Here is a 27,121-nt window from a genome sequence, read left to right as displayed (position 1 = left end):
CGGCCTCCCAAAGTGCTGGGATTACAGGCATGAGCCACTATGCCCAGCCGACTTTTTCTAAAATGTGTTTTGTGCTGCCTTGCCATCATAACTAGAAAACACTGAACATAACTGAGCCTTTGCATTAGACTCGGGATATGGAAAATCCCTTTAGGGCCTATTGTCGTGTGTCACATTGTTTGACCCAATACAATCTTTTCCCCAATGGTGGTGATTTGGAGTTTCTTCTCTGTGTTGATTTTTTTTTTCTTCCTTCCTTCCTTCCTTTCTTTCTCTCTCTTTCTTTCCTTTTCCTTTCTTTTCTTCTTCTTCTTCTTTTCTTTTTTTCTTTTTGAGACAGGGCCTCACTTTTTCACCCAGGCTGGAGTGCAGTGGCATGATCATGGCTCACTGCAGCCTTGACCTCCCAGGCTCAAGCGATCCTCCCACCTCAGCCTCTGGAGTAGCTGGGACTATGGGCATGCATCACCACACCCAGCTAGTTTTTTGTATTTTTAATAGAGACAGAGTTTCGCCATGTTGGTCAGGCTGGTCTCAAACTCCTGGTCTAGGATTACAGGCGTGGGCCACCACACCGGCCTGATTTTTGTCTTTAAATACAGGCGGTGGCTCACTCCTGTAATCCTAGCACTGTGGGAGGCTGAGGCAGGCGGGTCACTTGAGGTCAGGAGTTCAAGACTAGTCTGGCCAACGTGGTGAAACTCCATCTCTACTAAAAATACAAAAGTTAGCTGGGCGTGGTGGCGGGTGCCTCTAATCCCAGCTACTCAGGAGGCTGAGGCAGGAGAATCACTTGAACCTGGGAGGTGGAGGTTGCAGTGAGCCAAGATTGCGCCACTGCACTCCAGCCTGGGTGACATAGAGAGACTCAGTCTCAAAAAAAAAAAAATCACTCTGGTAGGCAGCCCTTATTTCTCATTCTTGTCCCCATGCCAGCCTCTTGCAGCCCCCATTTTGCTCTCTTCTCTTCCTGTCTCCTCACTAATTTTCTGCAGGCTGTTAAGCAGAGCACAATAGAATCTATTTTAGAATCTGTTTTATTTTATTTTATTTTATTGGAGACAGGGTCTTGCTCTGTCACCAAGGTTGGAGTGCAGTGATGCAATCCTGTCTCACTGCAACCTCAACCTCTCAAGCTCAAGTGATCCTCCCACCTCAGCCTCCTGAGTACCTGGGACTACAGGCATGTGCCACCTTGCCCAGCTAATTTTTGTATTTTTTGTAGAGGCAAGGCTTTGCCATATTGTCCAGGCTGGTCTTGAACTTCTGGACTCAAGTGATTATCCCACCTCAGCCTCCCAAAGTGCTGAGATTACAGGTATGAGCCACCACGCATGGCCTAGAATATTTTTTAAAACAAGAAGGGCCTAGAATTCTACAAGAAAATTATACAGACATTAACTGTTCAGAAGCCATTGCACTTATTTCTATTTTTAGTTTTTAAAAGTGTTTTTCAGGGTGCTACAGTGGCTCATGCCTGTAATCCCAACACTTTGGGAGGCTGAGGTGGGAAGATCACTTGAAGCAAGGAATTCAAGACCAACCTCTACAAAAAACCTCTACAAAAAATGTTTTTAAAATTTACAAAGCAAGACCTTGTCTCTACCAAAAAAAAAAATTAAAAATTAAAAAGGTAGCTGGGTGTGGTAGTATACACCTGTGGTCCTGGCTACTTGGGAGACTAAGGCAGGAGGTTTGCTTGAGGCTAGGAGTTTGAGGCTGAGTGAGCTAAGATTGGGCCACTGCCCACTCCAGCCTGGGTGGCAGAGTGAGACTCTGTTTCTTTTCTTTTCTTTCTTTCTTTTTTTTTTTTTGAGACAGAGTCTGGCTCTGTCACCCACACTGGAATGCAGTAGTGCGTCTAAGCTCACTGCAACCTCAGCCTTAGGCTCTCCTGCCTCAGGCTACCGAGTAGCTGGGACTACAGATGTGCACCACCACGCCCGGCTAATTTTTGTATTTTTAGTAGAGATGGAGCTTAGCCAAGTTGTCCAGGCTGGTCGTGAACTCCTGACCTCAAGTGATCCACCCACCTTGGTCTCCCAACGTGCTGGGATTACAGACATGAGTGACCACGCCTGGCCAAGAACCTGTTTCAAAAAAACAAAAATGTATTCCAGATAGGTGAGTTACAGAATGTTGGGTTTTTCAAATAAATTCAGTAAACTTATTCAAAGCTGAATCCTAATTCAATTGCCCAATGACCCCGGACCTTTTATATTATTTTATTTAAAAATTTTTTTTCAGAAACAGTGTTTTGCTATATTGCTCAGGCTGGACTTGAACTCCTGGGCTCAAGTGATCCTCCTACTTCAGCTTCCGCCCCTGACTTTTTATTTTTATTTATTTATTTATTTATTTATTTTTGAGATGGAGTCTTGCTGTGTCACCAGGTTGGAGTAGAGTGGCATGATCTTGGCTCAATGCAACCTCCGCCTCCTGAGTTCAAGCAATTCTCCTGCCTCAGCCTCCCGAGTAGCTGGGACCACAGGTGTACACCACCACGCCCAGCTAATTTTTGTATTTTTAGGAGAGACGGGGTTTCACTATGTTGGCCAGGATGGTCTCAATCTCTTGACCTCCTGATCCACCCATCTCGACCTCCCAAAGTGCTGAGATTACAGGTGCGAGCCACCGCGCCCGGCATTTTTATTTTGAGATGGAGTTTTGCTCTTGTTGCCCAGGCTGAAGTGCAATGGCGCGATCTCAGCTCACTGCAACCTCCACCTCCTGGGTTCAAGCGATTCTCCTGCCTCAGCCTCCCAAGTAGCTAGGATTACAGGCGTGCACCACCATACCCAGCTAATTTTGTGTTTTTAGTAGAGATAGGGTCACCACGTTGGCCAGGCTGGTCTCGAACTCCTGACCTCAAGTGATCCAACTGCCTCGGCCTCCCAAAGTGCTGGCATTACAGGTGTGAGCCACTGTGCCCGGCCAGCACCTGACTTTTTAATTGATAGGGCACAACACCTTCTATTTTAGAAATCTCAAAGAAGGCTGGGAGTGGTGGCTCACGCCTGTAATCTCAGCATTTTGGGAGGCCAAGGCAGGTGGATCATCTGAGGTTGAGAGTTCAAGACCAGCCTGGCCAACATGGTAAACCCCATCTTTACTGAAAATACAAAAATTAGCCAGATGTGGTGGCACATGTCTGTAATCCCAGCTATTTGGGAGGCTGAGGCAGGAGAATAGCTTGAACTCGGGATGCAGAGGTTGCAGTAAGTCGAGATAGCACCACTGCACTACAGCCTGGGTGACAGAGCTAGACTCTGTCTCACAAAAAAAAGAAAAGAAAAGAAAAGAAATCTCAAAGGATTCACAATCTGGAAGTCTGGCCACATCCTGTGGTAGATAGGTAAATTCTACCAATAGTCATAGTCGTAACTCTTCAACCATTCAGAAACAAATGTGTAAAATAGTCAGATGAGCTTCCTGAGTTCACACAGCAAAACATCTAGGGAATAAGAGACATTTGACTTTCAGTCAGTCTCTCTCTATTTGCCAAATAACATTTCCTCTTCGGTTGCACAGCTAAATTTAAATAAAATAATGAAGGTTATTTATTTGAGACAGAGTCTTGCTCTGTTGCCCAGGCTGGAATGCAGTGGTGTGATCTCGGCTCACTGCAACCTCTGCCCACCGGGTTCAAGCGATTCTCGTGCCTCAGCCTCCCGAGTAGCTGGGACTACAGGCATGCACCACCATGCCTGGCTAATTTTTGTATTTTTAGTAGAAGGGGATTTCACCATGTTGGCCAGGCTTGAACTCTTGACCTCAAGTGATCTGCCTGCCTCAGCCTCCCAAAGTGCTGGGATTACAGACGTGAGCCACCGTGCCCAGCCAAAGGTTATTTATTTATCAAAGATATTCAGTTAGTGGATATGATGGTTAATTTTATGTCAACTTGCTTGGGCCATCATGTGCCCAGATGTTTGGTCAAACATGATTCTGGGTGTTCCTTTGGGGTGTTTTTGGATGAGGTTAACATTTGAATCAGTAGACTGAGTAAGGCAGGTTGCCTCCCCTAATGTGGGTGGACCACATCCAATCAGTTGAAGGCCTGAATAGAACAAAATGGTTGACACTTGCCCCAGTAAAGGAGAACTCCTCCTGCCTGACTCCTTTTGAACTGAGACATCAGCTTTTCCCTGCCTTTGGACTTGAGGACTTGAACTAAAACACAGACTCTTTCTTAGTTCTCCAGTCTGCTGGCCTTCTTGTGGGAACTACACCATTAGCTCTCCTGGGTCTCCAGCTTGCCGACTCACCCTGCAGATCTTGGGACTTGTCAGCCTCCATAATCATGTGAGCCAATTCCTTATTATCTATCTATGTATTTATTGATCTATCTGTCTATTCATCCATCCATTCATCCTATTGGTTCTGTTTCTCTGGAAAACCCTAATAGAGTAGACATACACCAATGTCAACTAATTAAACTACCCCCAAAGGCCTATCACTTCTCCAGCAAGAAAATCCCTCTTTGAAATGCTTGGCTATACAGAATTCAAACAGGATCATGGATTTTTATTGACCAGAGAGAAATCAAGTTCAATGTTGAAAAAAATTCTAGTACTGAGATACTAAATTTCTGGAAGATAGGCACTATGCTAGTTTTGCTTTATAGTTTTAGTACAGTGAATAATATAGAAATTTTATTTTTTAAATGAAACAGCATTGTTTGATGGTGATGATAAGAGTAATGATAACCAGTAGGGCTTTGTAAGCTAGTGTTGTCATGATAATGCAAACAAGGTAATATCTAGAGCAACTGGGAGTGATAGAATTTATTGGCGGAAGTCCACTCTGAAGGACGGTCCTTTTGTCTTGCTGATACTACAAAGAGGTGGGCTTCTACACTCAGCACTGACTGTGAGGCCAACTTTTTATCTCTGCTCTGCACCTCTACCCTAGTGTTCTTTTCTGCCCTCTCATGCTCCTTTCCAGTGTCAGTGCTGAACACAACCCTTCTCTGCCTCTCAACTCCACCTCACCATTGTCCTGTTTTCTTCCATCCAATAAGGAAGGAGGGCGGGGCTGTGCCTTCCCTGACAGCCAGCATCTTGGGACTTGCTTCAGGCTCCACCTCCCACACCATCCACCACCCGCTGTGGACTACACAGCTCTCACCCAGATGCTGTTTTTCCATCCTAGGAGCTGACCTCATTGTCCCTGGGGCTGGAGCCATCTATAAGGCAACACTTGCCAATTTGGGGGTTTATGGCATTTTTGCATTTCTGGCACAGAAGGAGTCAGCCTGTCCCATTGTCTTTTGTCATAAATAAGGTATTAGCAACCACCTTTCCTCTCTGCGCACAAACATGGCTGAAAACACAGAAGTGCGACTTGCATGTCACACATGGATATCGATTCACTAGTTTAGGAGCGTGGCTGCTGTTTATGGAAATTGCCAGCATACAGTTCTGCTTCCTGTTCTTGCAGACCAGCATGACATTTGGCTCGATTGAGCCCCTGTCATGGGTTGCCACACAAACATTGTCTGTCTGGTGCTGTCATTTCCTGGCAGTGAACAATTATTCCACATTGCCTCAAGATGCCCTCCCAGTGTCCCTCTCACGGCAGCAGAACCAGTCCTCAAAAGGCAAATGTGTGGCCAGAGCATTCTTCTGGAGAACATAGGCAGGAACAAAGCCAGTGTGGTTTACTGGAAAGCACACCAAATATAGTCTGAGGAGCATGGCCACACTATGTAGACAATAGAGGAACTGGCCCCCCTCCCACTCACCATTTAGTTGTCACAACCACACACGTGCCTTCCTGTGCCTTCCCTGACGTCATGAGGTGGGAAAGGTAGCAGCAGTTGGCTCTTTTCCATAATCACTGATCAGCCCCGCCACATAGCACTGTCAACTGGAAGCTACCACACACCCATAGTAACCCAGCTAATAGCTGTCTTTCTAGATTTTTTTTTTTTCACTGATGTGCACTGTGTTCTTGGCCATAGCCCTAACTTTACATGCTTCAATTTCCTCATTCTTTAAAGGAATTTAATAGCAATCCAAGTTAAATTCTGCATCCTTACAATAGATTGTTATATTAGTGCAAAATATATTTCATCATATGTACATTGAGAATAATTAACTTCTACCTTAGTAATCCATCAAGTATCCAACTAATATTTACTTAATATCTACTCTGTACATGTCATGGTACTACACGCTCATTTTGAAGTTTTAACAACAAATTATATATTACTTGGAAATTTGTGTCTTTCAAAAGCTAATATCAATGGTTATTTCATATTTTAAATGACAAATACCTATTCAATACTTGGGATTCTTTAAATAATAGGAATTTAAATGCAACAGAGGGATAAAAAGCGAAAAATTCCATTCAGACATCAGGTTTTATGAGGACTAAATATAATGTTAGTAATAAATGATGTGGAGTTTCCTTACTGGAAAGTACTACTTATGCCAGGCACGGCAGGTCACGCCTGTAATCCCAGCACTTTGGGAGGCTGAGGCGGGAGGATCTTTTGAGCCCAAGAGTTCAAGACCAGCCTGGGCAACTTAGCGAAAAACTCGTCTTTACAAAAAATTTAAAAATTAGCCAGGTGTGGTGGCATGCACCTGTAATCCATCTGGAGTCTGTGGCAGATCACTTGAGCCCAGGAGTTCAAGGCTGCGTGTGCTATGATTGCGCCACTACACTCCAGCCCAGGTGGCAGAGCGAGTGTCTCAAAAAAGAAAGAAAGAAAGAAAAAAAAGACTAATCATAATAATTCCTCACAAGACACGAAGCATTATCCCGACACAAAAAATGTTTTGGAAACCCAAACTGACCTTTATACAGTTACTTGTAGGATCTCAGACCTTTGAAATGGTCATTTAAAAAAATTATTTATTTATTTGAAATAGTCATTTTTGATCACCAGAAGGAAGAAATCACAAATAAAAAAAGAAGAGGCTTAAGGCTCAGATCTGTAGATTACTTTTTCAGGAACCTGGAGGACAGAGAGCTGGGGAGCAGACTGCAGAGGGACTTGAGGTTTCTGGAGTTTGGACGGCTTACATGTAACCTGGCGACACCTTCACGCCCCAGGGTTGCCATGGCACCACCTTTCCGAAATACTGCTTCCTAGGTACAATATATCTTTTTTTTCTGAAACGGAGACTCTCTCTGTCGCCCAGGCTGGAGTGCGATGGCACGATCTCAGCTCACTGCAACCTCTGCCTCCCGGGTTCAAGCGATTCTCCTGCCTCAGCCTCCTGAATAGCTGGGATTACAGACGCGCACCACCACGCCCGGCTAATTATTGTATTTTTAGTAGAGATGGGGTTTCACCATGTTGGTGAGGCTGGTTTCGAACTCCTGACCTCGAGATCCGCCCGCCTCAGTCTCCCAAAGTGCTGGATTACAGGCATGAGCCACCGCGCCCGGCCAGTACAATCTATCTTTATTATTTTTTTTTTTGTAATTTTTATTTATCTACTGGCATCCCCATGGAGGCCCTTTCTCTCCCCAACTTTCCCTCGTGTGTGAAATAAAGACCACTGAATCTATTAACTTCCCAGGCCTTGAAATTCCATTTTCGCACATACTGCCACCGCTAAACGATTTCTGAATTTTTTGTTGTTACCCCCTCAGCTAGGAGTTCCATTTGCCAAGCATTTTAACAGCAGAGAAGGCAATTCTGTGGGCCGATGCATTTGTGTTTAGCAGGCACAGATATCTCCAAATAACCTTCCTATCTTCACACTGGTGGCTTTTGAATTGTTCAGGGTTTTAGAAATACCATAATCTCATTCTGTTAAATATTAAGGGACTCTTTCGGATTCCCTGAGCCTTAAGGTTACGTTATGCAAATCTGTCCGAGTGTGTTTCCATGGTGCAGAATAAAAGTTATGGTAGGGTTTTTTGAAGCAGCATGACTATAAACGTCACTCCTGTCACTGCCTTTCACAAGAGCCCACTTGCTGTGAAATATTTTGAAAACAGAGCTGAAGTGGAGATAACGCAGTGCACAAACAGGCGGAAATAAGAATAAACCGTGCGTGGCAGGCAGAAACCCGGAGGTTGGCTGTTTCTGGAGGGGAAGAGAAGGCTCTGTAAAGCTGGAGGAGAAACCACGCCGGCCACTGTTTAGGGGCCTCCTGGGGGTCGTTTCCCTTGCCCCCTCGGGTTGGGGAGCTCCTCTAGGCCAAGGAAGCGGCCCCCTAAAACCGCTTCCGGGACTGCAGCTTCTCTCCCCACACTCTCAAGGAGCAGAGCCTTCTCGGGCCACAATTCTCCGCGACCCAAAAATAACTACACAGATGTGAGGAAAAGGGCCAAAGCCTACAGCACAAGGTGGTTCTCAGTTAAAGCCTTATCGCTTACGGCCAGGAAGCTCGAAACCTAACCCAGCGCCAGCCTTTTATAGCCGGTCCCTCGAGCCCCGCCCTAGCAACTTCTCCTAGCAACGCCTCGCCCCGTGCTCTGCCGCCTTATCTGCCTCCGCCAGGCCTTTCCTGTTCCCCTCCCCCAGCCCGCACCGCCCCGCCGCCCGGCTCACTTGACCCGCCCCAGGGGAGGGGAGGGGTGAACGGAAGCGTGAGGGGCGGGGCGTTGGAAGATGCTCGCGTCATCAAGAGGCGCCGGGCGAGTTGCGGCGCCTGGTGTCTCAGAGAGGCTTGAGGTTCGGGTAGTCGGTGACATGGCGGAGGCCGCGGCGCTGGTGTGGATTCGCGGCCCTGGCTTCGGGTGCAAGGCGGTGCGGTGTGCCTCGGGTCGGTGCACCGTCCGGGATTTTATCCACCGGCACTGCCAAGATCAGGTGAGGATTTCGGTTCCTGTTAGGAAGGAGAAAGAGGCAGACAGGTGGCAGCGCTGGGTGCGGAGTAGGTCTGTCCGGGGCGGGGGTACGTTTATTCTCTGGGGTTTTCACTCGTTGAGGCTGAGAGTTCCTCAGTGTTAAGGTGCTTCGAATTGTTACTGAGACCTTCCTTTGCTTTTCTTTTGTGGTGGTGGTTTTGCCTTCCCACCAAGAGGGAGAAAAAAACTGTTACAGGCACTTAGTCCCGCTCACAGTTACAAATACTTTGTTTCTCTTTCTTTATCCGTAAATATAATGGTCTTCTGGCAGTTGGGCCGGCTGATTTTTAAGGCTCCAGTCTTCACCTTCTTACTATGGTTATGTGACGTGTATTTTGTCCACTCATCACACAGCCTTGTTAGCCCCAGCCTAGAGAAGTATGTCATATCCAAACCCAGGCCAAAGGATGATTGGGAAGGAAAATTGATTCTTCTGGTCAGTCGTTGTGACCAAGCATTCACACGTGTGTCCTGTTGAGGGCCTGGGTTCTTAGGGCCTGTTACGTAGAAGTGTTCACTATTAATTTGATGGTCTCATTTGTCCGTGCATATTTGTGAAAACCTACCAGGGACTTCCAGAGTTACACGTGAGCTTTTACTGAACTTTCAAGTAAGTAAGCTTTTACCAGCTATAAGATATTAAACCTGTTCAGTTGTCAAAAGAATTTAGTGGTTTCCCTGAATCTAATTTTAATGTTGGCACTTGATCTAGAACTCTGTTCTTTCCGCACCTCATCCGTGCTTTCCTCGGCTATTTCCTCTGCTTACTATTTATAAGCTTAACAAATGTTAACACTGCAGTCTAGACCAAAATTTTAAGAGACTTGGATCGATTCCGTGAAGAAGCAATGTGTGTTTGCAAATAATACGGTTTTTCACTTTCCATGTTTTCCTTCCTGCTCTGTAATCCAGTCTAAAAACTGTAAGCACAACTGTTTTTGACCATGAAAATAATTGCATTCTAATTCCTTTGAAAATAATTCTTATTTCATGAGTACAGTGTTCTTTTCTCCCCCTCCCCCACCCCCGACGGAGTTTGACTCCCGTTGCCCGGGCTGGAGTGCAATGGCGTGATCTCGGCCCACTGCAACCTCCGCCTCGCTGAGTTCAAGCGGTTCTCCTGCCTCAGCCTCCCAAATAGCTGGGATTGCAGTCGCCCGCCACCATGCCTGGCTAATTTTTGTATTTTTAGTAGAGACGGGGTTTCACCACGTTGGCCAGGTCTTGAACTCCTGACCTCGGGTGATCCGCCCACCTCAGCCTCACAAAGTGCTGGGATTACAGGCTTGAGCCACTCCTCCCGGCCTATGAGTACAGTTTTCAAACTTGCTGACAATTGATCCAAAGTGAAACCAGAAAAAATAGGATCTTAATCATGAGGTATGTTGGAAAAAAGAATTTTTAAATCGGAAGCAAGAAATATAGGCCAGGCGTGGTGGCTCACGCCTGTAATTCCAACACTTAGGGAGGTCGAGGCGGGCAGATCACCTGAGGTCAGAAGTTCGAGACCAGCTTGGCAACATGGTGAAACCCCATCTCTCCTAAAAATACACAAAAATTAGCCAGGCGTGGCGGCAGACGCCTGTAATCCCAGCTACCCAGGAGGCTGAAGCAGAAGAATCATTTGAACCTGAGAGGTGGAGGTTGCAGTGAGCCGAGATTGAGCCATTGCACTCCAAACTGGGTGACAGAGCAAGACTCGGTCTGAAAAAGTATATATAAAGAAATATAAATGAGTGGATTCAGTCAGAAACTTAAGGAACATGACCATAGCAAATATGAATAGAAACACAAAAGAATATTAGTTGAGATACTGGAACAAGTAAGAATAGCTCAAGTTCACACCTATGTTTTTAAAAACAAAACTATTCTGAGACATGATGAAGTTAGTGTTAACTCCCACTGAGAAAATAAAAATCTGCCCTGCTTTTCATCAGGCTGGGATAACAGACACAGATAAAGCCAGCTGCAAAGTTTTTGTTTTTTGTTTTTGTTTCCCCCACACTACACCGATGTACAGCTGCAGAGTTAACAGGAAATGGTGATGTGTCATAATGTCATAACGACCCCCACGAAGGTCTGCTGCTTTCTTATTCACTGAGAAACCTTGGTCTCAAAAACCATAGAATATATAAGAAATTTTGCTGTTTAAAGTTCTCTCAATAAGAGGGAACCTTCCCACTCTTGCCTTGTAGAGAAGCATTCTTGATTTCCAACCCAGGTCAGAGCTTCCCATTAAGGGTTTCTGGACACAACTTTCCACATTTATCTTAAATTTGTAGTTTCCAAGGAAAGAGGAGCCTTCACAATCCAGATCTGATGTTGACGTTTTTATATACAGTCCTGCTTTATTTTGAACCTTTTTAAACACTGCTTGATGTAAATTTCACCTCAACTCCACCCTAGCCCCAAATCTTGTAATGACACTCCTTTCTTTGGGTTGGTGAGATACCCATGACTCCTGGTGTGCAGTTCCCCTCGTTGCAGTGAATCAGTAAGTTTGACAGGTTTATCTCTGATAGCCTTAGGCTGGTTGTGCTAAAACACACATGATAATTTGTGTTTGAAGCACTTTACAATGCACAAATGGTTAAAAGCAGTTAAATTGAGTCTAAATGTTGTATCCTTTTTTCTGCTTGTGACTTCATTGACAAGAATCTTAAGTAGAAAATGCAATTTTGTTGATCAGTTGTTTTGTTTAATAAGCCATTCTGTTTGGAAATGAAGTATACATCATTTTCATGGTGTATACTTTCTGCCTTCATATTAATATCTTTTAAAATTATTTAGAAATACCATACCCATTAGACATACAAAAGGCTTCTAATGTGTAAACATTAAACAGATACAAAATGTATTACATATCTCATTTAATGTTTACAACAGCTCTTTGAGGTAGACAGTATTTTAAAGACAAGAATAGTCGTTCATGTTACCTCATTGCAGATAGCCTGAGCTCCCTTGCTCCTCTCTCCCGCCATTATATTTGTCTGGGAGAACCCCAGACAGCATAAATCCATCTCTCCACCTGTTCTGCCCTGGCATCTGGGCAGTGACTGTGATAGAGAACTATAATCACATAGCTCAGTCTCCATACATCCACCAGCCTGGTGCTGCTTGGTAATTCTGTATTTCCTTGGTCCAGAGTGGGCTTTTACTGGGTTACAGGACTGCTTAGAGTATTGATTCATGTAGGCTCTGGGGCAGCTACACAGAATCTGGGGCTGCCCAGCATCTTAGGCTATCTTCAGCAACTTTGCTCATTTTTGCTCATTTTTCATGTATTTATGTCTCCTATGGTGTACTTATATAGGTGTATTAAAAACCACACTCTTGACTCCTTCCTTCTCTACTTCTTATTCCTACCTGCACTTTTTAGGATTGAGGACTACTTTTGATGTTCAATTTAATTTTACCTGTTTAAGAAAGTCAGAAAATGGGACCTCCACAGTTATTTAATCTGAGTCCTGCATAGTCTTCTACCTTGACTCAGATTACCTATCAGAGAAGAAGAAGCAGTTTTTGTTGTCACCGCAAAGACTGAAGTTTCTTCTATATGTGATGATTAGGTAATATTGGGAAAAAATTATACCCAAAATGCATCATGTGAAATGACTTTTTCTCCTAGTAGTTTACATTTTCAATTCAACAAATATTAATTGAACACCCTCTGTTGTAACCAGAGTAATAAAAAGACAGCTAGGTCCCTTCTTGTAACAAACTTAGATTATTATCTCATAAAAGGCATTAAAAAAACAAATTTGTCTCTAGAATGTTCCAGTGGAAAACTTCTTTGTGAAATGCAATGGAGCACTCATTAACACCAGTGACACAGTGCAGCATGGAGCTGTTTATAGTTTGGAACCCAGACTTTGCGGTGGAAAAGGAGGTAGGACCTGAACATTGACTACTTAGTTGTAACACATTTGCAGTCTTTATTCATTTATTTTCATATTCTGCTGCTGACATTTGCTGTCTTTAGCCATGGTATTAAATTAACAACCTTCTTAGTCTCTTTAGTATGCCAATATTGTTTTACCTTATGAATTCTTTTATTTACTTAACCTGATTTTGGACATTTTCTCTCTTATTCTTTTGTTTTCTTTCTTTTGAGACACTGCCTTGTTTTGTCGCCCAGGCTGGAGTACAGTGGTACGATCACGGCTCACTGCAGCTTTGACCTCCTGAACTCAAGCAATACTCCCACCTCAGTTTCCCCAGTAGCTGGGACTATAGGCACATGCCACCATGCGCAGCTAATTTTTGTATTTTTTGTAGAGATGGGGTTTCGCCATGTTGCCCAGGCTGTCTTTTATTTTGGTCGAGGAAGAAATATTGTGTGATACAATTCCCACTTTGTTCAGCTGGATAGCTCTTAGGGAACCTAGGCTCTAAAACTTTGGGGGAAAATTAGATGAAGAGAGATGGCCATTATTCTGTTCAATTTGCTGAATAAAGAGTTTTTTTTCTAAATCTCCTTCTGCTTTAATCAGGATTTTGTCTCGTTTTTGTAGTTCCAAAGGAAGTCTAAAGTTACCTTAGGAAACACAATTGTTTATAAGTTGAGGCAGATTAAGGTTTTGTTTGTTTAACACAACTACTAGGAAAGATAACAAAGAGCGAAAACAATATAAACAGTTGTTGGTATTTCTCCTAATGTAGTAACATGTGATCCCTAAGCTTTCTCAAAATCTACAGTGATTTGGTTTGGTTTTCAGAGAGCTGACATCTCAGACTATATCCAGCTGTTTGAAATTGTATGATTAAGAATGAAGCGTGGGCTGGGCACGGTGGCTCACGCCTGTAATCCCAGCACTTTGGGAGGCCAAGGCGGGCGGATCACCTAGGTCAGGAGTTCGAGACCAGGCTAGCCAACATGGCAAAACCCCGTCTCTACTAGAGATATAAAAATTAGCCAGGTGTGGTGTTAGGAGCCTGTAATCTCAGCTACTTGGGAGGCTGAGGCAGGAGAATCACTTGAACCTTGGAGGTGGAGGCTGCAGTGAGCCGAGATTGTGCCACTGCACTACAGCCTGGGCGACACAGTGAGACTCTCTCAAAAAAAAAAAAAAAGAATGAAGCATGTGGCCAGGCATGGTGGCTCATGCCTGTAATCCCAACACTTTGAGAGTCCAAGGTGGGAGGACAGTTTGAACCCAGGAGTTTGAGACTAGCCTGGGCAAGATGGTGAGACCTTGGTCTCTACAAAAAAAAAAAAATAGCTAGCTGCATCGGTACACGCCTGTAATCCTAGCAACTTGGGAGGCTGTGGTAAGAGGATCCATTGAGCCCAGGAGTTCAAGGCTGCAGTGAGCTTTGATTACATCAAGCCATTGCCCTCTAGCCTGGATGACAGAGCAAGGCCCCATCTCTTAGGGGGGATAAAAAGAATGAATGAATGAAGCATGTTATATCAGCCAGTGGAGCTTAAAATTGCCTTTCCTTCTAAACTCATTGAAAAATCTCACTATATACTTTTTAAGTTCTTAATCTGAGAATCTTGGGATCTCTGTGATTGTGTAAAGCTTCTTTTTTTTTTTTTTGAGACAGAGCCTGGCTCTGTTTCCCAGGCTGGAGTGCAGTGGCACGAGCTCAGCTCACTGCAAGCTCTGCCTCCTGGGTTCACGCCATTCTCCTGCCTCAGCCTCCTGAGTAGCTGGGACTACAGGCGCCCGCCACCACGCCTGGCTAATTTTTTGTATTTTTTAGTAGAGACGGGGTTTCACTGTGTTAGCCAGGATGGTCTTGATCTCCTGACCTCATGATCTGCCCGCCTCAGCCTCCCAAAGTGCTGGGATTACAGGCGTGAGCCACTGCACCTGGCCTGGGTAAAGCTTTTTAAATATTCTAGCTGTACAGGTATTATACCGGTATGCAAATAACTAACACAAGGATAAATAATTAGGTTTGGGAAGGCTAGGTATTTTATCTCAGAACTATAAAATGAAAGGTGAAAGGCATGAGGTTAAATCAGTCTTTTTACTTTCGCTGCCTGAATTAGAACCTTGATGTTCATCTTTTCTTAAAAAAAAAAAAAAAGAAAGAAAGTAGAGATCATTGTTAATCTTGTGATACAGATTGTTTTCACAAATTCTGCTTTTATCCATCCTTGAACACATTTTAACCTGCTTTCTCCAAATACATCTGCTCAGGTTTTGGATCTATGCTCCGAGCACTTGGTGCTCAGATTGAGAAGACAACCAATCGAGAAGCTTGTCGGGATCTCAGTGGAAGGAGACTACGCGATGTCAATCATGAAAAAGCGTAAGATGCCCACCTTTTTTTGTGTTTTTGAGGAGAGACATATACTTTCCTATTAGTAGTGATTATACATATGCCACGCATATTGGAAATGGAAACTTAAAATATTTACATCCAAATTTATTATCAGATTTAACCTTTTCCATAATTTAATAATCATCTTTGGGATTAAGTTCAGTACCATATGCTAGTAGTAAGCATGGCTCACCTTTCTAAGAGAATATCACAGTATGAACAAGTGCATTAATTCGTCAGAGACATTTTATATATAAAAGTGTATATGTAATATATCTATTCAGTTATATCTCTTCCTCCCTCATCCCCAGAATGGCTGAATGGGTAAAACAACAAGCCGAGCGAGAGGCTGAAAAGGAGCAGAAGCGGCTGGAGCGACTGCAGCGGAAGCTTGTAGAACCCAAGCACTGCTTCACCAGCCCCGACTACCAGCAGCAGTGCCATGAGATGGCTGAGCGTCTGGAGGATTCCGTCCTCAAAGGTGAGAATGAGGATTCCTTAGTGTGTTCAGCTGGCACCCCTGAAGCCAGCTGTTCAGACTGCTCTACACTACGCACAAAGAGCAGTTCTTAAGCTTTTTTTAGGTTACAGATGTCTGAGAATCTGATGAAAACCTTGGCACTTTTATCCTCAAAAATGAACACAGTATTTTTTTAAAAAAGAACACATATACAACATTTGGCTTTTTTTTTTCCCCCCAAAACGGAGTCTTGGTCTGTTGCCCAGAGCTGGAGTGCAGTGGTGTGATCTCGGCTCACTGCAACGTCTGCCTCCTGGGTTCGAGCAATTCTCCCGCCTTAGCCTCCAGAGTAGCTGGGATTACAGGCACACGCCACCACGCCTGGCTAATTTTCATATTTTTAGTACAGTCAGGGTTTCACCATGTTGGCCAGGCTGGTCTCAAACTCCTAACCTCGTGCTTGGGATTACAGGCATGAGCCCAGCCAACATTTGGCATATTTAACCCCTGAATTCCATGGGGCCATGGGCCCCAGGTAAGAAAATTTTTTGTTTGTGTTTAGGGATAAGCTAAGTCTTCAGAAGATGTCTAGACCTCAAAGAATTTGCTGCCAGTTTTAAGTCAGTTTTTAATGTGAATGATTCTCATTAACTTTTGTTTTTAGCATCCAAAACATGGCAGGCCTAGTATGGGAACAATCGAATAAGAAACAATCTTTTTGCATCAAAAAGGTTATGACATAACAGGAAAAAGACAAGTGTATGCAAATAACTAACGCAGGGATAAATAATTAGGTTTGGGGAGGGCTGGGTATGAACTTGTCAGTCTCAAGGTTACAAATTGTGCAGTGGTGCTTTAAAAAATCTGCTCCTAGACTAGAATGTTTATCATTTTAAATCTGTGTAAATTTGAGATTAACTGTATAAAATGTTGGTATCTTAAGAAATTTAAATCTGGAGCTGTAGATTGCAGCTCTTTTTGCAATCCATGTTATTTATGATTTCTTTAAACTTAGTCCCTATAGTAGAAACTGAGTTGTTAAAATTTCTGGTTAGGTATGCAGGCTGCCTCCAGCAAGATGGTTTCAGCAGAAATCAGTGAGAATCGGAAACGGCAATGGCCTACTAAATCTCAAACAGACAGAGGAGCCAGTGCGGGAAAGAGGAGATGCTTCTGGTAAGTGTTTCACTTTCGTTCCCAATTGATCTTTGAGGACTGACTTGAGACATTTCCTCCTTGTTTATCTGGCATAAACACATTTTTGTGTAGTGTTTGGTGGGAGCTCAGAAAATTTCCAGAGTGCTTCAAGCTTTAGGTTTCAGTGATTGTCACATTGTACTGGTAATGGTTTCTGCTGTGAATGCCATTAATTGAATGTAAAGGATGAATTTTTTCCTTACACTGAAACATAAAAATAGCTTTATATTTGAATTACTTTTTTGGTGTTGAAGGGGTTTAACTTTTAGAAATTCTAGGTGGAAATCAAGCTGTACTTTCCAGGTGGTTGTCTGTGGTTTTTCACAGTCATCATTGAGGTCTTTGGTCACTTTGCCAGACTTCTCTTCACCACTTTCGCACTTGAGGGTAAAAAGCACAGCAGTACTTTTTCTTGTCCATTTTTCTGATAGTTCTCTTGTCCCTCTAGTTGGTCCTCTTGTTGCCAGTGACTTCCCTTGGGCCAAGTTCTTGAAAATAAGTTTATCCCCTTTGGGGATAAACAGATAATTATTAATCAAAGATCATATAACACTATGAGTTCAGCATACAATGTTTGTTCTTTCTGAAATGGGAATTAAGTGTTCCTGAGAGAAAGGGTGGTGACACTACCTGTGGTTTGTATTTTTTTAATGAGGTTTATTGAGGTATAATTTATATATAGCAAAATTCACCCTTTTTGGTTGATTGGTTCTACGACTTTTGAAAAATGTATATGTACTATATAGTCACGTTACCATCACCACAATCTAGATAGAGTGTATTTTAATGACCTGAAATAGTTCCCACGTGCCCTTTTGCAGTTAAGTCCCTTTTCCCCACCTCTAGACCCTGGCAACCATTGGTCACCAGTGTGATATTTGTTACTATGATTTAGTCTTTTCTAGGATGTCATATAGCCTTTAGTGTCTGGCTTCTCTCACTTAATATAAAGCTTTAGAGATTCATCCATGGTAGTGTATGTATCAGTAGTTCATTCTTTTTTATCACTCCGTATCGTTTCATGGTGTGAATGTACCACAGTTTGTTTATCCAGTCTCCATTTGGTAGACATTTGGGTAATTTCTGGGTTTGAGTAATTATTAATAAAGCATGGGTGTTTTTTTTGTGTGTGTTTTTTTTTTTTTTGAGACAGGTTCCTCACTCTGTTGCTGAGGTTGGAGTGCAGTGGCGCGATCTCGGCTCACTGAAGCCTTGACCTCCCAGGTTTAAGCTATCTTCCCATCTCAGCCTCCTGAGTAGCTGGGGCTAGGGTACATACCACCATGCCCAGCTGATTTTTTTTATTTTTTTGTGAAGACAGGGTTTTGCCATGTTGCCTAGGCTGGTCTCAAACTCCTGAGCAGGTGATCCTCGCGCCTCAGCCTCGCAAAGTGCTGGGATTATAGGCGTGAGCCACCGCGTCCAGCCCAAGCATAGGATTTATAAATGTGTGTGTGTGTGTATTAATATTTATTATTGGGAAACACCTCTGTAAAACAGAATAATTGTTCCTAGGATTTTCTTTATATATTTTTTCACCAATCAAATCAAGGGGCGGCACCGAATAATTTTCCTTCTTTTTTTTTTTTTTTTGAGACAGAATCTTGCTCTGTCGCCCAAGCTGGAGTGCAATGGCACAATCTCGGCTTACTGCAACCTCTGCCTCCCAGATTCAAGCAATTCTCCTGCCTCAGCCTCCCCAGTAGTTGGAACTACAGCCATGTGCCACCACACCCGGCTAATTTTTGTATTTTTAGTAGAGATGGTGTTTCACCATGTTGGCCAGGCTAGTCTTGAACTCCTAACCTCAAGTGATCCACCCACCTCAACCTCCCAAAGTGCTGGGATTACAGGCGTTAGCCACCATGCCCGGATGGATTTTCTTTATAACTATTTATTATTATTATTATTATTTTTTTTTTTTTTTTGAGACAGTCTTGCTCTGTCCCCCAGGCTGGAGTGCAGTGGTGCGATGATGGCTTACTGTAACCTCTGCCTCCTGGTTCAAGTGATTCTCCTGCCTCAGCCTCTCGAGTAGCAGGGACTACAGGCACCTGCCACCAGGCCTGGCTAATTTTTGTATTTTTAGTAGAGACGGGATTTCACCATATTGGCCAGGCTGATCTTGAACTCCTGACCTTGTGATCCACCCACCTCGGCCTCCCAATGTGCTGGGATTACAGGCATGAGCCACCACGCCCGGCCAACTATTTATTATTTTATCTAATTTCCAACCGTCGAAGGTAATGTAATGCGGGGGAAGAAAGCTTTAAGCAAAATCAATTTTGCTTTTAGAGATTCAGGACTTTAGAAAGGAGATCCTCTTGGATCTTTGGGACAGTTGGTCCCAGTCTCATTGAAATGTTTTTTCCTTCTGTTTATAAGCTCTAGAATATCTTTTTCCGAAATTTGCCTGTTCTCCATCTCAAGCTAGCAGAAACAGATTCTGTTTCCTGAACAAACTATAACTCTTTGCTTTATTTATTTATTTTTGAGACGGAGTCTCACTCTGTCACCCAGGCTGGAGTACAATGGCGCGATCTCGTCTCACCGCAACCTCTGCCCCCCAGGTTCAGGTGATTCTCCTGCCTCAGCCTCCTGAGTAGCTGGGACTATAGGTGCATGCCACCACATCTGGCTAATTTTTGTATTTTTAGTAGAGATGGGGTTTCACTGTGTTGGCCAGGCTGATCTCAAACTACTGACTTCGTGATCTGCCTGCCTTGGCCTCCCAAAGTCCTGGGATTACAGGCCTGAGCCACTGCGCCCAGCCAACTCTTTGCTTTAAATAGAAGCTACAAACGCTGTTAAACCTTTCTGTTGCTTCTGACAGGTTGGGCATGGAGGGACTAGAGACTGCAGAAGGGTCCAACTCTGAGAGTTCAGATGATGACAGTGAAGAAGCACCAAGCACTTCAGGAATGGGTTTCCATGCTCCAAAAATTGGTAGCAATGGTGTCGAGATGGCAGCCAAATTTCCCAGTGGTTCTCAGAGGGCGAGAGTAGTGAATACAGACCATGGATCACCAGAACAACTGCAGATCCCGGTGACTGACTCTGGGAGGCATATTTTAGAAGACTCATGTGCTGAGCTGGGGGAGTCCAAAGAGCACATGGAAAGCAGGATGGTTACAGAAACAGAAGAGACCCAGGAGAAGAAGGCAGAGAGTAAAGAACCCATAGAAGAGGAGCCCACTGGGGCTGGACTGAATAAGGATAAAGAGACAGAAGAAAGGACTGATGGGGAAAGAGTTGCTGAGGTAGCACCTGAAGAAAGGGAAAACGTTGCCGTTGCCAAACTGCAGGAAAGCCAGCCAGGAAACGCAGTAAGTATGTTTTGGGGTTGATACCTAGAGCCAAATCAGTTTAATCTCCACAATAAGTCATTAAAATGAAAATGTGCTTTTGCCCCTCAGCTGCTTAGTGAAAGGCTTATTTGATTTTAAGAAGTACAGATTATGGTGAAGCTTGCCTTATTCCCCAAAAACTTTTTAAGTTCTGGCATTTATACTATGTTGCCACTAGGTGGTGTCCTTGATTCCATATTGCATCAATTGTAAGATGCATGTTTTCCACATTTTAGCATGTCTAAAATGAGATGTGTATAACATATTATAACTTAATTGGTATTGTTTATTCTTAGTAATACATGAATGAGGGTATATTATGATAGATGGCATTTTAGATTTGATGAAATGTGCTCATTTTTCCCGTCACTAAATTGCTACTCAGCTTTTTCTAATGTGAGGATAGCTTGAACAATAGTTTCAGCTGAATGTGAAGACCTCTTCTATAGAAGAGGAACCTCCTTTTAAATTTATCATTAAATCTTAAGTACCCACAGTCAGCCTTTTAAAAAAGGCATCTTCAGCCAGGTGCGGTGGCTCACGCCTGTAATCCCAGCACTTTGGGAAGCTGAGGTGGGCAGATCACCTGAGGTCAGGAGCTTGACACCAGCCTGGCCAGCATGGTGAAACCCTGTCTCTATTAAAAATACAACAACAACAAAAATTAGCCGGGCATGGTGGTGCACGCCTGTAATCCCAGCTACTCAGGAGGTTGAGCCACGAGAATGGCTTGTGCCCTGGGAGGTGGAGGTTGCAGTGAGATGAGATTGTACCACTGTACTCCAGCCTGGGCGACAGAGTGAGACTCCATCTCAAAAAATAATAATAAAAAGGCATTTTCATAGTACATTCTCTCAAAAAGTTGGTTTTTCACTATCTACAATGGACTGGCTTCCAGCAAAAATCTCTGTGCTTTGATCTAATGGTTTGCTTTTTAGAATAGGTGAAACCTAAACTACTTAATTTCCTTCGATAAACACAAAACCTACCATTTGTTTAGCCAGCACCTTCCCCTGCCCCCAGTAAGTAAGTAAAAATGCATAAATTGCCCTTTCTGGTGAGACTATTGGAATTTTTTTATGCTAAGGTCCTTACAATCTCTGAATTTGTAAGCATGTAATTTTTGTGTTATGTGTATACAGGTAAGAGCTTTATCCTGACTGAAGTCTTAGAAAAATAAAAAAGGAATCATAGGATAAAACCTGATATTTTTCAGTGTTAGCCATGGAGTTTTGTTCTTGATGTTGTAGTAATAGCTGTTGTATTCCTAACAACCAAGTGTGATTCTTTAAACACACATAAGTGGCATTTTAGAATTTGGTCATAAATAAGCCAAGGTTAACTCCCAGAAATCTAACAAAACAGCTTTTTTAAGAAAACAAAGATCAACTAGAAAGATAGAGTATGTCTCCAGAGCTCTTTAATATTTTAAAACTGTGAAAGTTATTCTTTGAATATAAAAAATCACTCAAAGATAGACATTTTCATTCTTTTCAAGGTATCATTAGCAGTATTTAATTTTGTCTTTTTTTTTTTTTTAATGACAGAGTCTCACTCTGTTGCTCAGGCTGGAGTGCAGTGGTGTGATTTCTGCTCTACCTCCCAGGTTCAAGTGATTCTCCTGCCTCAGTCTCCCAAGTAGCTGAGACTACAGGCACGCTGAGACTACAGGCACGCACCACCACACCCGGCTAATTTTTGTATTTTTAGTAGAGACGGGGTTTCACCATGTTGACCAAGCTGGTTTCGGACTCCTAATCTCAAGTGTTCCGCCTGCCTCCACCTCCCAAAGGGCTGGGATTACAGGCTAATTTTGTCTTAAAGTCTATAAAGGCACTTGGTGGGTAGAACAGTTGCAAGTCTATTGAACAGCATTTGAGTTTGTTGAGTTATATAAGGGAGAGGTCTGACAATTAGTTTTAATTACTCAATTAGAATAGAAAGCATTAAGATTATGGAATTAGTAGATTCAGAGGCATGGGATTCTCATTAAGCTTTTAGGAGTGCCTGCTCTTTCTGTGGGAATAGTGTGGGGATAGGCTGGCTATATTTTACTGTTTAGATGTTTACTAGAAAAATCGGAAAAGAAAGCAATATTAAAAATCTGTTTGGGAATGCTATACTTCTGTTACTGTTCTGAATGCTTGTTTCTAAATGTATAGATGAAAAATTAGTTATTATGTGTGTTGAGAATACTTATGGAATAACATGTGGATGGATGATGATTAAAATTCAGTTGCAAGGTATGGCAAATTAAATGAAAATTTCTCAAGAAATGTAGTTGACAGTTAAAGAGTCTTTATTCAGAGGAAGGAGCCTGTTTTAAATATTTTCTTATTTTTTTCCCTCAGGTTATTGATAAGGAAACTATAGATTTATTGGCGTTCACCTCTGTTGCAGAACTGGAGTTGCTGGGTTTGGAGAAGCTCAAATGTGAACTGATGGCCCTTGGACTGAAATGTGGGGGCACTCTGCAGGAGCGGGCAGCAAGACTCTTCTCTGTCAGAGGACTGGCAAAGGAGCAAATTGACCCGGCTTTATTTGCCAAGCCTTTGAAAGGGAAGAAAAAATGAGTATCATCAGAGCTGATTCCTATTTGTTTATAGTGTCTACCATTTACAACCTGCATAATGTGGACTCTTGACCAGTATTCCTGTTGATATTAAAAGCTAACTTTTTAGTAACCCAATTCTAACTATCCCCTTTTTCCTTGTCAGGGCTGTAGAATTAATGTCTGAAACCATCTGGGCCTTAAATTTTCTTTGTCTGGTTTTCTATAGTGTATTTAATAAATATAGGGCTATTCACATTTTTTGGTTTGATCTTGGTGTCATTTAGGTAATGAATCTATCCAAGAAATCTATCCTTTTGACCCAGGTTATCAAATTTGTAGACATAAGGTTATTTATAATGGTCCCTTCTTACCCTTTTAATGTCTTTAGGAGCTGTGTTGATAATTTCCTTTTCATTATGATACTGGTAATTTCTGTTCTCACTTTCCTAATCAGGTTGGGTAGGGGTTTATCAGTTTTACTGATCTGACTTTTTATTTTATTTTATTTTTTTTGAGACAGTCTTACACTGTCTCCCAGGCTGGAGTGCAGTGGCGCGATCTCGGCTTACTGCAAGCTCTGCCTTCCGGGTTCATGCCATTCTCCTGCCTCAGCCTCCCCAGTAGCTGGGACTACAGGCTCCCACCACCACGCCCGGCTAATTTTTTATATTTTTAGTGGAGACTGGGTTTCACTGTGTTAGCCAGGATGGTCTCGATCTCTTTACCTCGTGGTCCACCCGCCTCAGCCTCCCAGAGTGCTGGGATTACAGGCGTGAGCCACCGTGCCTGGCCGACGATATAACTTTTAAAGAACCAACCTTTGGTTTTATTTTTCTCAATTGTTTATATAATTAATTTCTGTTATTTTCTTTCTTCTATTTAGCTTGAGTCTCCTTTGATCTTTTTTCTTTAGTTCCTTAAGATAAGCCTTAGGTCATTGATCTTAGACGTTATTTAAAATACATATTTAAAGCTATACATTTTCTTTTAAGCATTACTTTAGTTGCGACTTTACAATTTTATTATGTCGTATTTTTATTATTCAGTTCTAATTTTCTTTTTTTTTTCTTTTTGAGATGGAATTTCGCTTTTGTTGCCCAGGCTAGAGTGCAATGGTACGATCTCAGCTCACTGCAACCTCTGCCTCCTGGGTTCAAGCGATTCTCCTGCCTCAGCCTCCTCAGTAGCTGGGATTACAGGCTCCAGCCACCATACCTGGCTGATTTTTGTATTTTTAGTAGAGATGGGGTTTCACCACATTGGCCAGGCTGGTCTCGAACTCCTGACCTCAGGTGATCCACCCACTTTGGCCTCCCAAAGTGCTGGGATTACAGGTGTGAGCCACCATGCCCAGCCTCTGATTATTTTCTAATTTCCTCCCTCAGTTCTTCTTTGACCCATGGATTATCAGAAGTGGGTTGTCTGATCAGCAAACATTTGTTTTTTTTCCTCTTAATATCTTCTTGTTGCTGATTTCTACTTTAATTCCATTGAGGTCAGAAAATATCCTCTTTATGATTTCAATCCTCTTAGTTTTATTGAGACTCGTTTTATGACCCAATATGTTGTCTGTCATGGTGAGTGTACCATACACAGTTTAAAAGAATGCGTATTTTAGGCCAGGTGTGGTGGCTCATGCCTGTAATCCAGCATGAGATTACATGCTGAGATTACAGCTGTAATCTGTAATTTGAGAGGCTGAGGTGGGAGGATCATTTCGAGACCAGCCTGGGCAATGTATAGTGAGACCATGTCTCTAAGAAAAACAATATGTAATTTGAATTGTTGGGTTAATATGTTTTGTAATATCGATGAGATTAAGTGGTTGATAGTATTGTTCAGATCTTCTATGTCTTTACTGATCCTTTTGTTTATTTCTATCAGGTGCTGAGAAAGGATGTTAAAATCTTCAATTATGATTGTGGAATTGTCTATTTCTTAAATTCTACCAGTTTTTGTATGAAGCTCTAATAACTTATGTCTTCCTAATGTATTGACCATTTTATCATTATGAAATTTCCCTCTGTCTCTGGTAATTTGGGTTTGAAATCTACTTTATCTTATGTGAATATAGCCACTGCAGCCTTCTTAAGCTTAGTGTTTGCACAGTATACCTCTTTCTATTAATTTACTTTGTGCTTCTGTGCCTATTTAAAGTAGTTTCTTTAAACAACATATACTTGAGACTTGCATTTTTATCTGTTCTCTCTGTATCTTTTAATAAGTTTAACATTAAATGTAATTATTAATAGGTTTCTAATTTACATGTTTCCTGTTTAGATAAGATTATTTTATAATTGTATTTTAATTTATTGGCTCTTTAGCTATACTGTTTTAATAATTTTTTTAAGTTGGATGTTCTAGTGATTACAATATACATTCTTAATTTTTCAGTCTACCTAGAGTTGATGTGCCACTTCACATAAAATGTAGAAATCTTGTAAGTATGTACATCCATTTATCATACCTGTCTTTTATGCTGTAGTTGTCATACATATTAAATCTACATATTTAAATATTGTAAGTCCTGTCATAAGTTACAATTTCTGCTTTAAATAATGATATGTATTTTAAAGAAATTAAGAGGAAAAAATAAAATCTTTTGTATTTATTCACATATTTACCATTTCTAATATTCTTCATTTCTTCTTAAAGATCTAATAGCCTTTCCCTTAAGACGGAAGAACTTTCTATAGCATTTTTTGTGTCTCCTGGCAACAAATTAGTTTTCTTTTTCTTTTTCCCTTTTTTTTTTTTTTTTTGAGATGGAGTTTCGCTCTCATTGCCCAGGCTGGAGTGCAATGACACAATCTCGGCTCACTGCATCCACCATCTCCTGGGTTCAAGCAATTCTCCTACCTCAGCCTCCCAAGTAACTGGGATTACAGACATGTGCCACCACACCTGGCTCATTTTGTATTTTTAGTAGAGATGGGGTTTCTCCATGTTGGTCAGGCTGGTCTCAACTCCTGACCTTGTGAACCACCCACCTCGGCCTCCCAAAGTGCTGGGATTACCACCGTGCCTGGCCAGTTTTCTCTTTTTTAAAAAGAATCTCTTCGCTAGGTGCAGTGGCTCAGGCCTGTAATCCCAGCACTTTGGGAGGCTGAGGCGGGCAGATCATTTGAGGTCAGGAGTTCAAGACCAGTCTGGCCTTCATGATGAAATGCTGTCTCTACTAAAAATACAAAAAAATGAGCCAGGTGTGGCAGTGCGTGCCTGTAATCCCAGCTACTTGAGAGGCTTAGGCATGAGAATTGCTTGAACCCAGGAGGCGGAGGTTGCAATGAGCCAAGATCATGCCACTGCACCCCAGCCTGGGTGACAGAGTGAGACCCTGTCTCAAAAAATAAAAAGAATCTCTTTACAGATCTTGTTCCACTGTCTTCTGGCCTTCATTGTTTCTGATGACAAATCAGTGGGTATTCAAATAGTTTTTCCCTTTATAGAATGCGTCTTTCTCTTTGGCAGCTTTCAGGTGTGGTTTTCTATGTATTTATCTTGGGAGTTTGATGAATTTCTTGGCTCTCTAAATTTATGCCATTTAATCAAATATAGGAAAGTGTCAGCCATTATTTCCTCAGATCTTTTTCCTGACCCATGTTTTCTCTTTCCTGGGACTTCAGTTATAAATATACTAAGCTTCGGTCTCAGTCTCCGAGTCTCTGTCTTTTTTTTTTTTTTTTTCCACCAAACGCTTCTCTCTGTTCTTCAGATGATTTCTGTAATATAGCTAAGTTGATGGAGAGTCTTCAAGCCAAAGTTGCCTTTTGGAGGAGTTGGCATCTTGCCAGAATGGGCCTGCCTTAGTACCTGTACTGTGCACGTTGGCTATAAAGAGTCCCCAGAAAGTGTGGCCTGAGTGTGAACCCGGTGGCCCCAGAGCATCACTGAGTGATGCTCCCCACAGCAGGAGATCTGAGAGGCGTATTTTCGTGGCTGCCACAGTATGTTCTGTTGCTTAGGGAGGATTATTTTTCTAGCTTGGGTAGTTGGAAACAGTTTTCTTCAAATTATGTGGGTGCCTGTTCAGATCTTAAAAAGCACACCCAAAGGGAGAAGGGAAACATTTAGATTTAGTGAAGGTTTACTTTTTAAAATTTTTTTATTTTATTTTATTTTTAGATGGAGTCTTGCTCTGTCGCCCAGGCTGGAGTGCAGTGGCGCCATCTTGGCTCACTGCAAGTTCCACCTCCCGGGTTCACGCCATTATCCTGCCTCAGCCTCCCAAGTAGCTGGGACTACAGGCACGTGCCACCACACCCGGCTAATTTTTTTGTATTTTTAGTAGAGACGGGGTTTCACTGTATTAGTCAGGATGGTCTCGATTTCCTGACCTGGGGATCCGCCCACCTTGGCCTCCTAAAGTGCAGGGATTACAGGCCTGAGCCACCGCGCCCAGCATAGTGAAGGTTTACTTTACAAGATCAGGGTTCATCTTTGAGAGACTCAGGCAGCCATGCCCAAAGA

General features: G+C 42.6%; 1 protein-coding gene across 1 annotated transcript, besides 7 other annotated features; it reads left to right on the top strand.

Annotated features, from left to right (window-relative positions):
• Window positions 7,745-7,794: an enhancer, noted in NCBI's record as "active region_2643". NCBI's record gives its function as "activates an Ori minimal core promoter by ATAC-STARR-seq in GM12878 lymphoblastoid cells {active_cell/tissue: GM12878}" and the evidence as "EXISTENCE:reporter gene assay evidence [ECO:0000049][PMID:35858748]".
• Window positions 7,875-7,974: an enhancer, noted in NCBI's record as "active region_2642". NCBI's record gives its function as "activates an Ori minimal core promoter by ATAC-STARR-seq in GM12878 lymphoblastoid cells {active_cell/tissue: GM12878}" and the evidence as "EXISTENCE:reporter gene assay evidence [ECO:0000049][PMID:35858748]".
• Window positions 7,995-8,144: an enhancer, noted in NCBI's record as "active region_2641". NCBI's record gives its function as "activates an Ori minimal core promoter by ATAC-STARR-seq in GM12878 lymphoblastoid cells {active_cell/tissue: GM12878}" and the evidence as "EXISTENCE:reporter gene assay evidence [ECO:0000049][PMID:35858748]".
• Window positions 8,325-8,604: a silencer, noted in NCBI's record as "silent region_1868". NCBI's record gives its function as "represses an Ori minimal core promoter by ATAC-STARR-seq in GM12878 lymphoblastoid cells {active_cell/tissue: GM12878}" and the evidence as "EXISTENCE:reporter gene assay evidence [ECO:0000049][PMID:35858748]".
• SDE2 (spliceosome associated SDE2) lies at window positions 8,629-25,270 on the top strand. Its single transcript, NM_152608.4, has 7 exons — window positions 8,629-8,779; window positions 12,589-12,706; window positions 14,970-15,081; window positions 15,405-15,574; window positions 16,609-16,729; window positions 19,584-20,076; window positions 22,449-25,270. The coding sequence occupies exons 1-7, from the start codon at window positions 8,660-8,662 to the stop codon at window positions 22,668-22,670; spliced, it is 1,356 nt and encodes a 451-aa protein (NP_689821.3). The 5' UTR covers window positions 8,629-8,659; the 3' UTR covers window positions 22,671-25,270.
• Window positions 8,665-8,774: an enhancer, noted in NCBI's record as "active region_2640". NCBI's record gives its function as "activates an Ori minimal core promoter by ATAC-STARR-seq in GM12878 lymphoblastoid cells {active_cell/tissue: GM12878}" and the evidence as "EXISTENCE:reporter gene assay evidence [ECO:0000049][PMID:35858748]".
• Window positions 10,788-10,877: an enhancer, noted in NCBI's record as "active region_2639". NCBI's record gives its function as "activates an Ori minimal core promoter by ATAC-STARR-seq in GM12878 lymphoblastoid cells {active_cell/tissue: GM12878}" and the evidence as "EXISTENCE:reporter gene assay evidence [ECO:0000049][PMID:35858748]".
• Window positions 10,898-10,947: an enhancer, noted in NCBI's record as "active region_2638". NCBI's record gives its function as "activates an Ori minimal core promoter by ATAC-STARR-seq in GM12878 lymphoblastoid cells {active_cell/tissue: GM12878}" and the evidence as "EXISTENCE:reporter gene assay evidence [ECO:0000049][PMID:35858748]".
• Window positions 25,271-27,121: the final 1,851 nt, after the last annotated feature.

Source organism: Homo sapiens, chromosome 1 (genome assembly GCF_000001405.40).
Source record: "Homo sapiens chromosome 1, GRCh38.p14 Primary Assembly".
Classification (NCBI taxonomy): Eukaryota; Metazoa; Chordata; class Mammalia; order Primates; family Hominidae; genus Homo; species Homo sapiens.
Note: the sequence above shows the minus strand (reverse complement) of the source record. Positions and strands in the feature narration are given on the sequence as shown.

What these genes read in the sequence shown, in the direction of transcription:
- SDE2 (NM_152608.4), top strand. Translation starts at nt 8,660, where the DNA reads ATGGCGGAGGCCGCGGCGCTGGTGTGGATTCGCGGCCCTGGCTTCGGG. An exon ending in GGAGGATTCCGTCCTCAAAG is followed by an intron (nt 15,575 to 16,608) that starts GTGAGAATGAGG and finishes ATTTCTGGTTAG; the next exon opens with GTATGCAGGCTGCCTCCAGC. An exon ending in GGAAAGAGGAGATGCTTCTG is followed by an intron (nt 16,730 to 19,583) that starts GTAAGTGTTTCA and finishes TGCTTCTGACAG; the next exon opens with GTTGGGCATGGAGGGACTAG.